The 13,216-nt window shown below is 43.3% G+C and overlaps 1 protein-coding gene across 7 annotated transcripts in view; it reads right to left on the reverse strand.

Annotated features, from left to right (window-relative positions):
- The window catches only part of MORC1 (MORC family CW-type zinc finger 1), a 159,887-nt gene extending 159,343 nt beyond the window's left edge, over positions 1-544 (reverse strand). For all 7 annotated transcript variants that reach the window (NM_014429.4, XM_005247362.3, XM_047447968.1 and 4 more), the window contains exon 1: positions 405-544. In NM_014429.4, the coding sequence (NP_055244.3) occupies positions 405-469 (65 nt within the window). In that variant the 5' untranslated portion in view covers positions 470-544. The remainder of the gene's footprint in view (positions 1-404) is intronic.
- Positions 545-13,216: the final 12,672 nt, after the last annotated feature.

Raw genomic sequence — 13,216 nt, forward strand, 5'->3', positions numbered from 1 at the left:
AAGACTCAGGAGGCCATAGAGTTTGAAATCAATATATGCAAATTACTCTGTTTGAAGGGCAACTTTAATGTTTAAATTGTCAGTGTGTTAGGCAGACTAAGGTTAGGCAGGATTGGTAGAATCACAGTTCTGCTGACCAACAATTAAACAGTTGTGTTAAATGATAAATGTAGGGCCTTCCAACCACTTGGTGTTCACTGAAGAGCACCTAAAGGGTTCAGCCTGGCCCAGAATATATCTTTATTATGCTTTCATCGTTTTAAAAAAAGCCTATACAGCTCAAATAAATAAATAAATCCATAAATCAAGTTCACTTGCTGAGTATTCCTCAGGGGACGGGCAAAACCTTTCTTCATGGCGGGCGCAGAGACCCTCCCCGACCCCGACCCCACCTCGGCACTCACGAGTTGGCGTGGATGAAATCCAGACGCAGCTGGGCCCGCTGAAGCGCAGGGTACCTGTCGTCCATGCCCTCGAACACGACCCGCGCAACTCAAGGGGACAAGGACACCTGACCGGCAGCCGTTCGCCTGCGCCCGCGCCCACTCCCACGCCCACGCTCACGCGCAGAGGGCGGGTTCAGCAAACACGTGCTCCCCCTTGCGGCGGGACCGCGAAGCTCCCACTGCGTCGTCGACTCAGTTGTCTCGCGAGGTTTGTTGCTTGGTCTTGGAGCCACAATTTGAGAATGACGTATCTGAGTTAGAGTCTCCTGGAATTGAGGTTTATGTAACTTTTTCAGACGGTTGTTCCCCACCCTGCTCCTCTCAATCACTCCCCAGCTGGAAAATGGAGCCCAAAACTGGTATTAAAATTTGATTCGAAATGATTACACATTCACACAAGATGGTGGGGGAACGTGGGCGGCAAGGCAGGACAGTGCGGGGAAGGTGAGTGGGTAGTTCTCTTTGCTTGTCCATTGTGTTACATAGAACCAGAGGTAAGAGTGCTCTGTCCTGTAATCCTAGCACTTACCTTCCTGTGTCTCTTGAGTTGATCATGTTTTTTCTATTTGGAGGAAAAAATGAAAAACAAAAGTGACAAGCCGGAGAGAAAACAAAAGGAATAACTAAAGACAATCAGAACAGAATTTGGACTTTAATATAGCGGCTTGTCCCTAGGTGAGAATAGCTGCCCCCACCTGAATGGATCACTAACCTTTTTTACCTGTCAGCTGACATGCGACTATTGCACTTGCTGGCCTGGCTCAATGCCTAGATATTCGGTATTGCTCCAAAAGATAGAACTAGGCAGGTAGAAGGTAGGGGTGCGGGGTTGGGGCGGGTAGATAAATATGAGGAAGGACTGCGCAGATGTGTAGAACAGCTGTATAAATAAATGGTGTTTCTCTACTCACAAAGCCCTGAGTTCTTAAGTCACCAAAACCCAAGCTGATTCAATGTCTTTTGACTTGGAAACCAAGGTAGTTCAATAATACTCAGCAAAGATTTTACATGATAGTCATAAAGTCAGAAACAAACATCTATTAAATAAAGAACTTGAACTAGATGTGTTTGTAATTTCCAGGCATCATACAGGCAGTGAAGCTCTCAGAAAAGAAAAAAAAAATAGTTTTGGAGTAGTCATTCTACTTCCAAAGAGAGGAGTTTATCAACTACTACATTTATGGGAATCAGGAGAGGAAGAGAGAATTTGAATGGCAACCCGAAGGAACATGATGTTCTAATTTCAAAACTGGAAGTAAACATAAACATTTCAAGTAATTTTCCTGATTGCATTTTTGTTTTAACAGTGGCTGATGTGGTGATGTTTTGACAGCAAAATTCTCTTTACTAAGCAACTTGAGCGATCTTTCCAATTTTTCCTTCTATAGAACTTCACAAATACGATATTTTATTTTCATTTTATGAGCAAGAAAAGCTTGACAAGTCTCTTCTGGATTTATTTTACTACCCAATTTCCAGCTGCTATCTCAAAGCAATTTACTATCGGAAGAGCACCGGAGCCACCAGCCTATAATTAGTAAAGGCTGTAATATCTAATTTTTATCAGAGGGAAGGGTGTGATTATTGCAGAAGCACTCCTTCTTATAATCTGAGCAGAGACTTCCTACAGTAAGTGGCCAGCCCCAAAGCACCAGACAGTACTGGTTAGCCTGGATGACAGGGACAGAGAGAATCCATTAGATTGTGCTTAAAAAGAGGCCTGAAAGTCACTGCACAGAATCCACCAAAAGCCATTCCCCGCCTCCCCATTTCAACACTGTTTAGCCACTCTGCCATCATAAAGGCAAACCTTGTTTCTCCACAAGGAGTACTTTTGTGATTGCTTATTTCAGCCATATCCCTCAACCCTGCCTCAAGATTCATTTTAACATTATTTCATGGTAAAAAAAAAAATACTGGGGGAGTGGCAGGGAGGGGAAATTTAAAATAAGAATGCCATTTGATCATCTAATGATTGGTACTGATATTAAGGAAAGCCTGTTTGGGATAAAAGACTCATCAGCTCTTCCTAACTTAACATTTCAGATTTGTAAAATTCATATTGTAGTCACAAATAATGGCTCAAATCTTTCAGACTACACTTTCCCTCTCATTTAAACAGCTATTATATGAACCAGTGTTTCATTGCTCTTCACAAACATATTGAACTCAAGACAAATTTCATAAGCATAAAAAACTGATGTTTTGAACCTACCGACCATCCACAATTGTTTGCCATTTCTTAAGAACTAGAATTTAGAAGTGACATTGGCATACTATAATAAACACAGAAAGCAAATGCTATTAAATTGATGATATTAAAAGAGGCCAAGGACCCTCAATTGGCAATAGGAAAATACATCTGAAAACTTCTCACACTCTTTGCTTTGGCTTCCATATTTGTCTCCTCCAAAACTCATGTCAAAATTTAATCTTCAATGTGGTAGTTTTGAGAGGTGGGACCTTTAAGAGGTGATCGGGTCATGAGAGCTCTGCCCTCATGAATGGATTAATTCATTCATAGATTAATGAGTTATCATGTGAGTGGGACTGGTGGCTTTATGAGAAGATGAAGAGGGACCTGAACTAGCACATTCAGCCCCCTCTCATTATGTGATGTCCTGGGCCACCTGGGGACGCTGCAGAGAGTTTCCACCAGTAAGAAGGCCCCTACAAGATATGTCCCCTTGACTTTGAACTTGTGAGCCTCTATAACTATAAGAAATAAATTGCTTTTCTTTATAAATTACTCAGTTTTAGGTATTCTGTTATTAGCAACATAAAGTGAACTAAGACACTCTTCTTATTTTATTGCATTCATGTGAGACAATCTGATTAGTGTGTTTTTATCTCTCTCAATCTACTCCATGTTAGACAATGGTAGAGTTTTCATTGCATTAATCTAAGTTATTTATATTACTGGAAATCTTTATGCCCAGGTATGCAGCACAGTGGTAAGCACGTCTGAAAATTGTAGAAAAATACGAGGTCATGAATTTGCCCAAATAGTAGTGATGGTATTAGAAGATTTAGTAAATAGGGTAGTCACTTTGGTTTGGGTAACCCAATAGCCATTTCCAACTGTCTTATTTCCATCTCACAGCTGAAAGCTTGCTTTCCTGTACTCTTCTGTAGTGAGGGATGACCATTTGACCCAGTCTTCAGAAATAAGATAGATGTAAAAGTATGCTAAGTGGTTTCTAGAAAGGCTTTTGCTTTCCTATTAAAAGGCACAGGCCGGCCTGGCTCTATCTCCCTCCTGTGTGTCTGCCTTGAATACAAGCACGATACCTGGATCTTTGGGTGTCATTGGCATCCTTGAGGAAAAAGTCAAGAAAATCACTTGAAGCTGCTACAAACATTCTCGAATTACTAAACCAAAACCAGCAGTCTCTCACCTCCAGATTTTTTGTTGCAAAACAAAACTGAAGTTTAATCCTTATTTGTTTAAGTAATTAGAGTTAGCTTTTCTTTTACTTGGAACCAAAGCTATTTTAACTGATATAGAGTAGCAAAGCATAATGCCAGAAAGCACCAGAAGTAAACATTCTTTTCATGGTTGGGCATCAGCAAAAGAATATTTATTATAAAGAGTGATATTTATGTTTTTTCTTGACAGAAGTGGTAAATGTGAATTGGCAGAAAGGAAGGAAGACACTGCAGACGGGAGCAACCACTGGAACAAAAAGATAGAGGAAGGGGCAGGACATACGTGTATGGAATATAATAACTAGAATCACTAGACTGAAGCACAGGAAGGGACAAGGTTGGCCAGGTAAAGAAGGAGAGCCTTGAAAGATGGGTTTGTGTTTCAGGGGTTTGCGTGTCAGTAAACAGGTTTATGTTTACTGTGATACATCATTTAGAGTCATTATTGGCTCATCTAGTGAATCAGCCATCTATTTGGTGAAAGCCAGCTCTGTGGTCATCCCAAGAGGGTAGAAAGAAAAACACCTGTTCTTGCATTCAAAAAAGTTATAGTTTAATAGAGGCAAATGTATCAGGTTTCAATCTAGGAAACAGAAACCATTCCAGGTACTTCAAGTACAACGAAATATAATATAGGGAAATGGATATTTATAAAACTTCTGGGAGGAATAGAAGGGCCAAAATCAGGGGCTCACCACTGGACAATTGAATTCAGGCAAACTTCATAAAGCTGCAGAGCATAGGGCAGCATCTGCTGATGCCACGGCTTTGTTGTCTCCAGTTACCTATGGGGATGGCTTCCAGATGGTAGAATGCTGAGCCTGGCCATTGCCTCTAAACCCTCACATCCCATGTTCTGCATGCTAGCAGCAAAGTATTAAAAAAGAGACAGAGACAGAGACAGAGACAGGGAGACAGAGAGACACAGAGAGAGAGAAAGAGAGGAAGAAAAGCATCTGACTTCTGATTTATAGAACATAGTCTAGTTGGTAGAATCCTTTTTCACAACCAGAGCCTTGGTTGCTAAAACATCTAAATGTAGTTTCTAGTTTTTCATCCTCTCTTACAAAACAGACTGAAGAGAAAGTACACAGAGACAGAGGGAATTTCTACTGCATTAATAGGCTTTTAAGGCATCAATTAGAGAAGTAAGGTCTTAGAGGTTCTCTGAGAGAAGGCTGGTCTCCAAGGAGGGAGGCGGGTTAGGAAAGATCTCAAAGAAGCAATGAAATTTGAACAATGCCTTGAAAGATGAACTTACATTTGCCAGGAAAAAGAATCAGAATTGGCATTCTATGTAGACTGCCCAGTTTAAAAAAGAAAAAGTATGAAGCTGCCTGGGCATTCAGTAAGTAGCTCATTATGTCTGGAGTGTTTTGTGCAAAGTGGGGCAGGAGAAGAGGAAATGGAAGTTTAGATGGAACTTGAAAGGAAGTGAAACTCAGATCATGGTGAGTCCTGAATACCATGCAGAAAAATTTGAAATGTATCTTGAAATGAGGCTTGGGAAACCAGACCCAAGCCTCCAGCAGTGGAGTACCATGAATGAATTTAGTCCTCATAAGGATCATTCTGGATGCATGTGGAGACTAGACTGGAGGAGTTCAAGACTAGAAGCAGAGAAGCCAGTTAGAAGAGTGTTGCAATAGAAAGTAAGAAACAGAACTCTTGAGCTGGGGAGAATCTTGATATTAAACAAAGAAAAAGTGAATTGGATGCCCTGATAACTTATTTAGCTGGAAAGGTCATCCCTAAAAGACTTGAAGTAAAGTGAAGAAGAGATAATGGAGATAAGAACTAGAGTGGTGTGGCTCTGCCTCTGCCTCTGCCTCTGCCTCTGCCTCTCCCTCTCCCTCTTCTCTCTTCCCTCTTCCCTCTCCCCTCTCCCCTCTCCCCTCTCCCCTCTCCCTCTCGGTCTCCCTCTCCCTCTCTTTCCACGGTCTCCCTCTGATGCCGAGCCGAAGCTGGACTGTACTGCTGCCATCTCAGCTCACTGCAACCTCCCTGCCTGATTCTCCTGCCTCAGCCTGCCGAGTGCCTGCGATTGCAGGCGCGCGCCACCACGCGTGACTGGTTTTCGTACTTTTTTGGTGGAGACGGGGTTTCGCTGTGTTGGCCGGGCTGGTCTCCAGCTCCTAACCGCGAGTGATCCGTCAGCCTTGGCCTCCCGAGGTGCCGGGATTGCAGACGGAGTCTGGTTCACTCAGTGCTCAATGGTGCCCAGGCTGGAGTGCAGTAGCGTGATCTCAGCTCGCTACAACCTCCATCTCCCAGCCGCCTGCCTTGGCCTCCCAAAGTGCCGAGATTGCAGCCTCTGCCCGGCCGCCACCCCATCTGGGAAGTGAGGAGCGTCTCTGCCTGGCCCCCCATCGTCTGGGATATGAGGAGCCTCTCTGCCTGGCTGCCCAGTCTGGAAAGTGAGGAGCGTCTCTGCCCGGCCGCCATCACATCTAGGAAGTGAGGAGCGCCTCTTCCCGGCAGCCATCCCATCTGGGAAGTGAGGAGCGTCTCTGCCCGGCCGCCCATCGTCTGAGATGTGGGGAGCGCCTCTGCCCTGCTGCCCCGTCTGGGATGTGAGGAGCGCCTCTGCCCGGCCGCGACCCCGTCTGGGAGGTGAGGAGCGTCTCTGCCCAGCCGCCCCGTCTGAGAAGTGAGGAGACCCTCCGCCCAGCATCTGCCCCGTCTGAGAAGTGAGGAGCCCCTCCGCCCGGCAGCCGCCCCGTCTGAGAAGTGAGGAGCCCCTCTGCCCGGCAGCCACCCCGTCTGGGAAGTGAGGAGCGTCTCCTCCCGGCAGCTGCCCCGTCCGGGAGGGAGGTGGGGGGGTCAGCCCCCCGCCCGGCCAGCCGCCCTGTCCGGGAGGTGAGGGGCGCCTCTGCCCGGCCGCCCCTACTGGGAAGTGAGGAGCCCCTCTGCCTGGCCAGCCGCCCCGTCCGGGAGGGAGGTGGGGGGGTCAGCCCCCCGCCCGGCCAGACGCCCCATCCAGGAGGGAGGTAGGGGGGTCAGCCCCCAGCCCGGCCAGCCGCCCCGTCCGGGAGGGAGGTGGGGGGTCAGCCCCCCGCCCGGCCAGCCGCCCCGTCCGGGAGGTGAGGGGCGCCTCTGCCCGGCCACCCCTACTAGGAAGTGAGGAGCCCCTCTGCCCAGCCACCACCCCGTCTGGGAGGTGTACCCAACAGCTCATTGAGAACGGGCCGGGATGACAATGGCGGTTTTGTGGAATAGAAAGGGGGGAAAGGTGGGGAAGAGATTGAGAAATCGGATGGTTGCCGTGTCTGTGTAGAAAGAAGTAGACATGGGAGACTTTTCATTTTGTTCTGTACTAAGATAAATTCTTCTGCCTTGGGATCCTGTTGATCGGTGACCTTACCCCCAACCCTGTGCTCTCTGAAGCATGTGCTGTGTCCACTCAGGGTTAAATGGATTAAGGGCGGTGCAAGATGTGCTTTGTTAAACAGATGCTTGAAGGCAGCGTGCTCGTTAAGAAACATCACCACTCCCTAATCTCAAGTACCCAGGGACACAAACACTGCGGAAGGCCGCAGGGTCCTCTGCCTAGGAAAACCAGAGACCTTTGTTCACTTGTTTATCTGCCGACCTTCCCTCCACTATTGTCCTATGACCCTGCCAAATCCCCCTCTGCGAGAAACACCCAAGAATGATCAATAAAAAAAATAAAAATTAAAAAAAAAAAAAAAGAACTAGAGTGGTGTGAATGTAAGGTCTTGATTAGGAAAACTTAGGAGCAGGCTTTTCTAAATGAGATCAACAGATAGGAAATGCATGGAGAAAATATGTTTTGGTGGCTTAATTTACTACTTCTGGTATCTGAGAAAAGCAGAAAAGAAATAGGGGCCAAAAGTCAGTTCATGCTTTTAAGTCTTAAATCCTGAGCCAATGGCATTGTTGTTGATAGTACTGGGCAAGTCACAAAAAATTACCAGGTTGAGAGGTGGAAGAAAATGAGTTCATTTTTGTCAAAGTAGGATTTAGCACTAAATAGCATATCAAAGTAGAGAAAAATTGTCAATGAAGTTTAAATAAACATATGATTTTCCTATCTTCAATGGAATTAGCTAACAATGAGTTGTCATTTTTTCAATAAAATACACTTTTTGTTATGGAAAATAACTGGTGAAGTTTGTGAAACTTGTGTGCCTCTAAAATCAGAGTCTGAGGAGCTAGCTCATGGGGATAAAAGGAGCCAGTTAAAAATACCAGGAAGGAGAGAAACACACATAGGTAAACAGAAGGGGACATGCAAAGTCTATAGGTATTACTTAATACCTTTTAAGACTGACCAAAAAAATGTATAAAGAAAATTTTCTGCACAGAACCCCCATTTAGATGCTATTGTCCAATTTCTGAATTGAAGCTGTCAACTCAGTTGGCTTCCAAGAATTACACACCAGTCTCAATCTGAAAAGACAAGACAGGGTTTTCTATAATTGTATTTGCTGGGATTTGTCCATGGAAAATGAAGAGAAAATAGCACATAGAAATTCCTCCCAAACTTGTTTTATCTTCTTTCAGCAAAACCTTTTAAAAAAAACCCTGGCAAATAGCCAACTTTGGTGCATTATTAGAATGCAAAGTGATAAAACAAGACACATTGATCTTTGGGGCACACTGTAATAAAAGCCTTTTAAGAAGTTCAAAGGTGGAAAAAAACCTCACACATGTAAGGAAGACTTGTACCTTGACCTTTGAGCACAGCACTTACAGACATGCAATGAATCACTGGTAATTCAAAGGAAGAGGTAAGCACACTTTTCCTGCTGTCACAAAAAGAACTGCCTCTTAAAATTTCTTATCTAACTCAAATTGCAGACTTTTGAAGTGAATCAAATTGTCTTGTATTTTCTCCAATAGACAAATGTCAGTCTGAGGAACTTACTTACCGATCATTATATTATCTTCCTCTCATATCATACAACAACAACATACAGAAAATGCCTGGTATATTTTAGACACTCAAAACTTTTTGTTTCTAATTGACAATTTGTTGACTGTCTGATTTTCCTTGTACTAGTGTCATATCCCTCCCACATCAAATTGCCAGACTTCTGTCATTTGAAGTAAGCTTTAAAATGTCATCTCTGCTGGGCACGGTGGCTCACGCCTGTAATCCCAGAACTTTGGGAGGTTGAGGTGGGTGGATCACGAGGTCAGGAGTTTGAGACCAGCCTGGCCAATATGGTGAAACCCCATCTTTACTAAAAATACAAAAATTAGCCAGGCATGGTGGGATGCACCTGTAGTCCCAGCTACTCGGGAGGCTGAGGCAGGAGAATCGCTTGAACCCAGGAGGCGGAGGTTGCAGTGAGCCGAGATCACACCGTTGCACTCCACCCTGGGTGATAGAGCGAGACTTCATCTCAAAAAAAAAAAAAAAAAAAGTCGTGTCAACCTAAATAACAGAGAGAGGCCCTCTAAAAGAAAAAGATATCTATTAGGGAATAGAGCATTGCAATAGGAATATGCAATAGGAATATGGCATGCATATTCCATAGTAAACTATGTGCATATTCAGGGAGGTAAAGGAAGTCAAAGATTTTTTAAAGAAAAAATGAAAAGGATAACATAATTGTTTTGAAATAATTATCCTTGGCTACAAAGATCGACAGCGCAAAGGTGATTCCCGTCCAAGGTTAGACGAGCAGTTGCTGGGCAGATGTTCTTGCAAAAGTATTTTTTGTGTGAGGTCACGATGGCCTTTATACGAGGTTATGATTTTTGCAAAGTCTTCTATGATAGTTTTGTTATCAGACATACAAGCATGAGAACCCTCTCTGCCTGGCCTTCCCCGGCAATTTTGTCAGGGTTTTTTGTTTTTGTTTTTGTTTTAACACTAGTGACTATTTTAATTCTGACAACTTTCACAGTTGTAATAAAAGCATTTTAAAATAGGCACAGCATTTGTGTATAACCAAAACTGCACACTTTTAGAATAATTTTTTGTTTTATTTATTTATTTTATTGTTGGATATTCATTATTTTTGTTTCACCATAATAATTATATGACCATAAAGTAACAATTTTTAAAAAGCCCAACCTGTTAAAAGAAATAAGCCTATAATGTGATGTCAGGGACCCTCTACCATCAGCCCAGTACTCCACCATCCCTTTATTTGTAGCCTGAAATTTCTTCAACAAGGCATAATACCTTTCACTGTACAGATACCCCTGGGAAAAAATGATAGGATGTAGTGGAGGAGAATTGCTGAATGCTGGCTGATTGTAAAAGCACAAGTTTCAAGGTTCCAAATTGTGAAACACTGATATTATCCTGCTCTTCTGGCTGAGAGGCATTTGCTGGATATTCCTAGCTTGAATGGGGACTGAATTCCTGTCCAGATAAGGGGACTGACTCTTAGACTTTATCCTGGTATGAAGGTTAATGATGGAGCATCTTCGTGGGTCTTCTGACTGATAATGTGAAATGCCACTGGAAAACATTGAATCAATAAAAAATGCCAACCGGCTTTGATATGCCATGTGTATATGGGGATTGAAACTCCATGACATCTCTCAGGTTTCCAAATTCCACACCTTTTTGTGTAGAGAGGTTGGGAGGGAGAGTGAGTTGTTCGTTCTGAGTCTGAATCCCTTCCACAGTGGCTTCCTGCCTTTGCATCATTCTCTGTAACAAGCATCTTTCAATCTCTCTTTTTTTTTTGGTGGGGGAAGCATGGGAGTATCTATTTGTCTTGAAATCACTCACTTGTCCTTCCCCTACTCCTGGAAGAAGCACTCTCTACCCTCTAATCAGTTACTATCAAACTAGTAGATGGGTTGTCTCTATTCAGAATGTCACTCCCTGCCAAAGCGAATCACCTCATCTTCTAAGGGGGCCCCCATCTCCAGGTAGCCTGTCACTAATGAAGAGTGATAGTTGGAGTGGATATCATCACTCCGAAAGCAACCACTCCAAAAGTGATATTTTCTTTTTTCATATATCCAACCCTTACAGATAAAAGTCTTCAAAAATACCAGAGATAATGAATATTTATTATAATTAATTTCCCACTGGCAAAATTTTCTCCCAGAAAGATGCATACCATATGCCAAGGAGTTCATGGGACTGTTTGAAACATTAGAAACTTTATTCAAGACAGCTAGGTGTATGACAAAATTGTATATAGTTGATCATATACCTACCCCCTCTTGTGTCTTTCACCTGCCTCTGGTGCACAGACATACCCCAACCTCTGCCATAGTCTCATCTTTATACCTGTATCTCAATCGGATCATTAAATATTTTTGTTTAATTATCTAAGATTGGGTGCTAATGTTGTTTATTCTTTCTAGGTTTGTAGTTTCTTTTCCTTTTTCTCATTTTCCTTTTCAGGACTATATGTCTATATTCTTCACCCAAAGCTCTTGTCTTTATAGCATCATAGTTCTCATCTAGAGTAACCAAAGGCTTAGGTACTAGTCCGTTCTCATACTGCTATGAAGAAATACCCAAGATTGGGTAATTCATAAAGGAAAGAGGTTTAATGGACTCACAGTTCCACATGGCTGGGGAGACCTCACAATCATGGGAGGAGGCCAAGGAGGAGCAAAGGCACATCTTATATGGCAGCAGGGAAGAGAGAGCGTGTTCGGGGGAGCTGCCTTTTATAAAACCATCAGATTTCATGAAACTTATTCCCTATCATGACAGCAACCTGAGAAAAACCCACTCCCGTGATTCAATTACCTCTCACCAAGCCCCTCCCATGACAGGTGGGGATTATGGGAGCTACAATTCAAGATGAGATTTGGGTGAGGACACAGCCAAACCATATGGGCTTACTACTCTTGGGAAGAAAATCTGATGGTAACAATGGAAAATACAGCATCCTACTAATACTGGAACATCAAAAAGGCCAGACTCTGTAACCATTATACCTCTATTAAAAGTGGAATTTCTACAAAATTCCTCCTAGGAACCCTTGGTATGGGGATAATAATAGTTTTGAGATCCTTGGAACATGCACTAAATTTGATTTTCTAGTTCCAAAGGATAATATTCTCAGGCTTGCTTGAGAAACATATATTACAACTGATAACAAAGAAAAATGATTATGCTAAGTCATTTAATGCCTATTACATGACCAGGATAAATTAAATAATCTGGATTTAAGACTCATGAGAAAGTCATTAATTCTACCTGAGGAACCTCCAAAAAATGGAGCCAAGGCCTGCCATGGATATAGGAAGCCCCTGGCAATCTCCCCAACTCACTCTTGCCCATTTCCATCTGCTCTGGTACATCTTCTTTCCATGAAAAAGAAATTAACCCATCAACCTGTTGGGTGACCTCAGTGGGAGTGAGAACTAAAATTTCACATTAGCTTTAACATGTTGGCCCAGAGATACAAATAATTTAACAATTTTGAATTACTAGGAAGGAAATGGAATCGGGAGATGGAGAGGGAAGATTGTAGAATAGCATTTCTTGTCTTCCTCAAACCTCTCTTCTATTCAAGAAGGAAAAGAAAGAAAAAACAATTCATCAATGGACCCGTCTACTGGGACTGTTCCTTCTGATATTCTCTATCAGCTTTCCAAAAACTCTTTTTTTGTCTGGGCACAGTGGCTCACACCTGTAATCCCAGCACTTTGGGAGGCCAAGGCGGGTGGATCACATGAGGTCAGGGGTTCAAGACCAGCATGGCCAAAATGGCGAAACCCCATCTCTACAAAAATTAGCCGGGCATGATGGCGTGCGCCTGTAATGCCAGCAACTCAGGAGGCTGAGGCGGGAGAATCATTTGAACCCAGGTGAGCTGAGATTGCGCCACTGGATTCTAGCCTGGGCGACAGAGCTGAGACTCCATCTCAGGAAAAAAAAAAAAAAAAAAGTCCTTTTCTTTATGGAAAATCAGAAGTTGGTAGTAACAAAACTGCCCACATTTGAAGGGTTTTGTCTTTGCTACTTTCATGGACTGAATTGTGTTGCCTCCCCCCAAATTCATATGTTAAAGCCCTAACCCTCAGTACCTCAGATTGTGACTGTAGTTGGAGATAAGGCTTTTACTGAGGTAATTAATTAAAAATAAGGTTGTTGGGATGGGCACTAATCCAATCTGGACTGGTACCTTTCTAAGAAAAGGAGATTAGAACACAGACACCAGAGATACGTATGTGCACAGAAGGATGACCATGTGAGGAGGTAGCAAGAGAGTGGCCGGAAAAGAGCCAAAAAGGAGACTTCAGAGGAATTCAAACTGCCAACACCTTCTTGGACTTCCAATCTCTAGAACTGTAAGAAATAAATTTCCATTACTTAAACCACCCAGGCAGTAGCATTTCGTTACGGCAGCCCTAGAAAACTAATACAGCTACCCAACAATCAT

Source organism: Homo sapiens, chromosome 3, assembly GCF_000001405.40.
Source record: "Homo sapiens chromosome 3, GRCh38.p14 Primary Assembly".
Classification (NCBI taxonomy): Eukaryota; Metazoa; Chordata; class Mammalia; order Primates; family Hominidae; genus Homo; species Homo sapiens.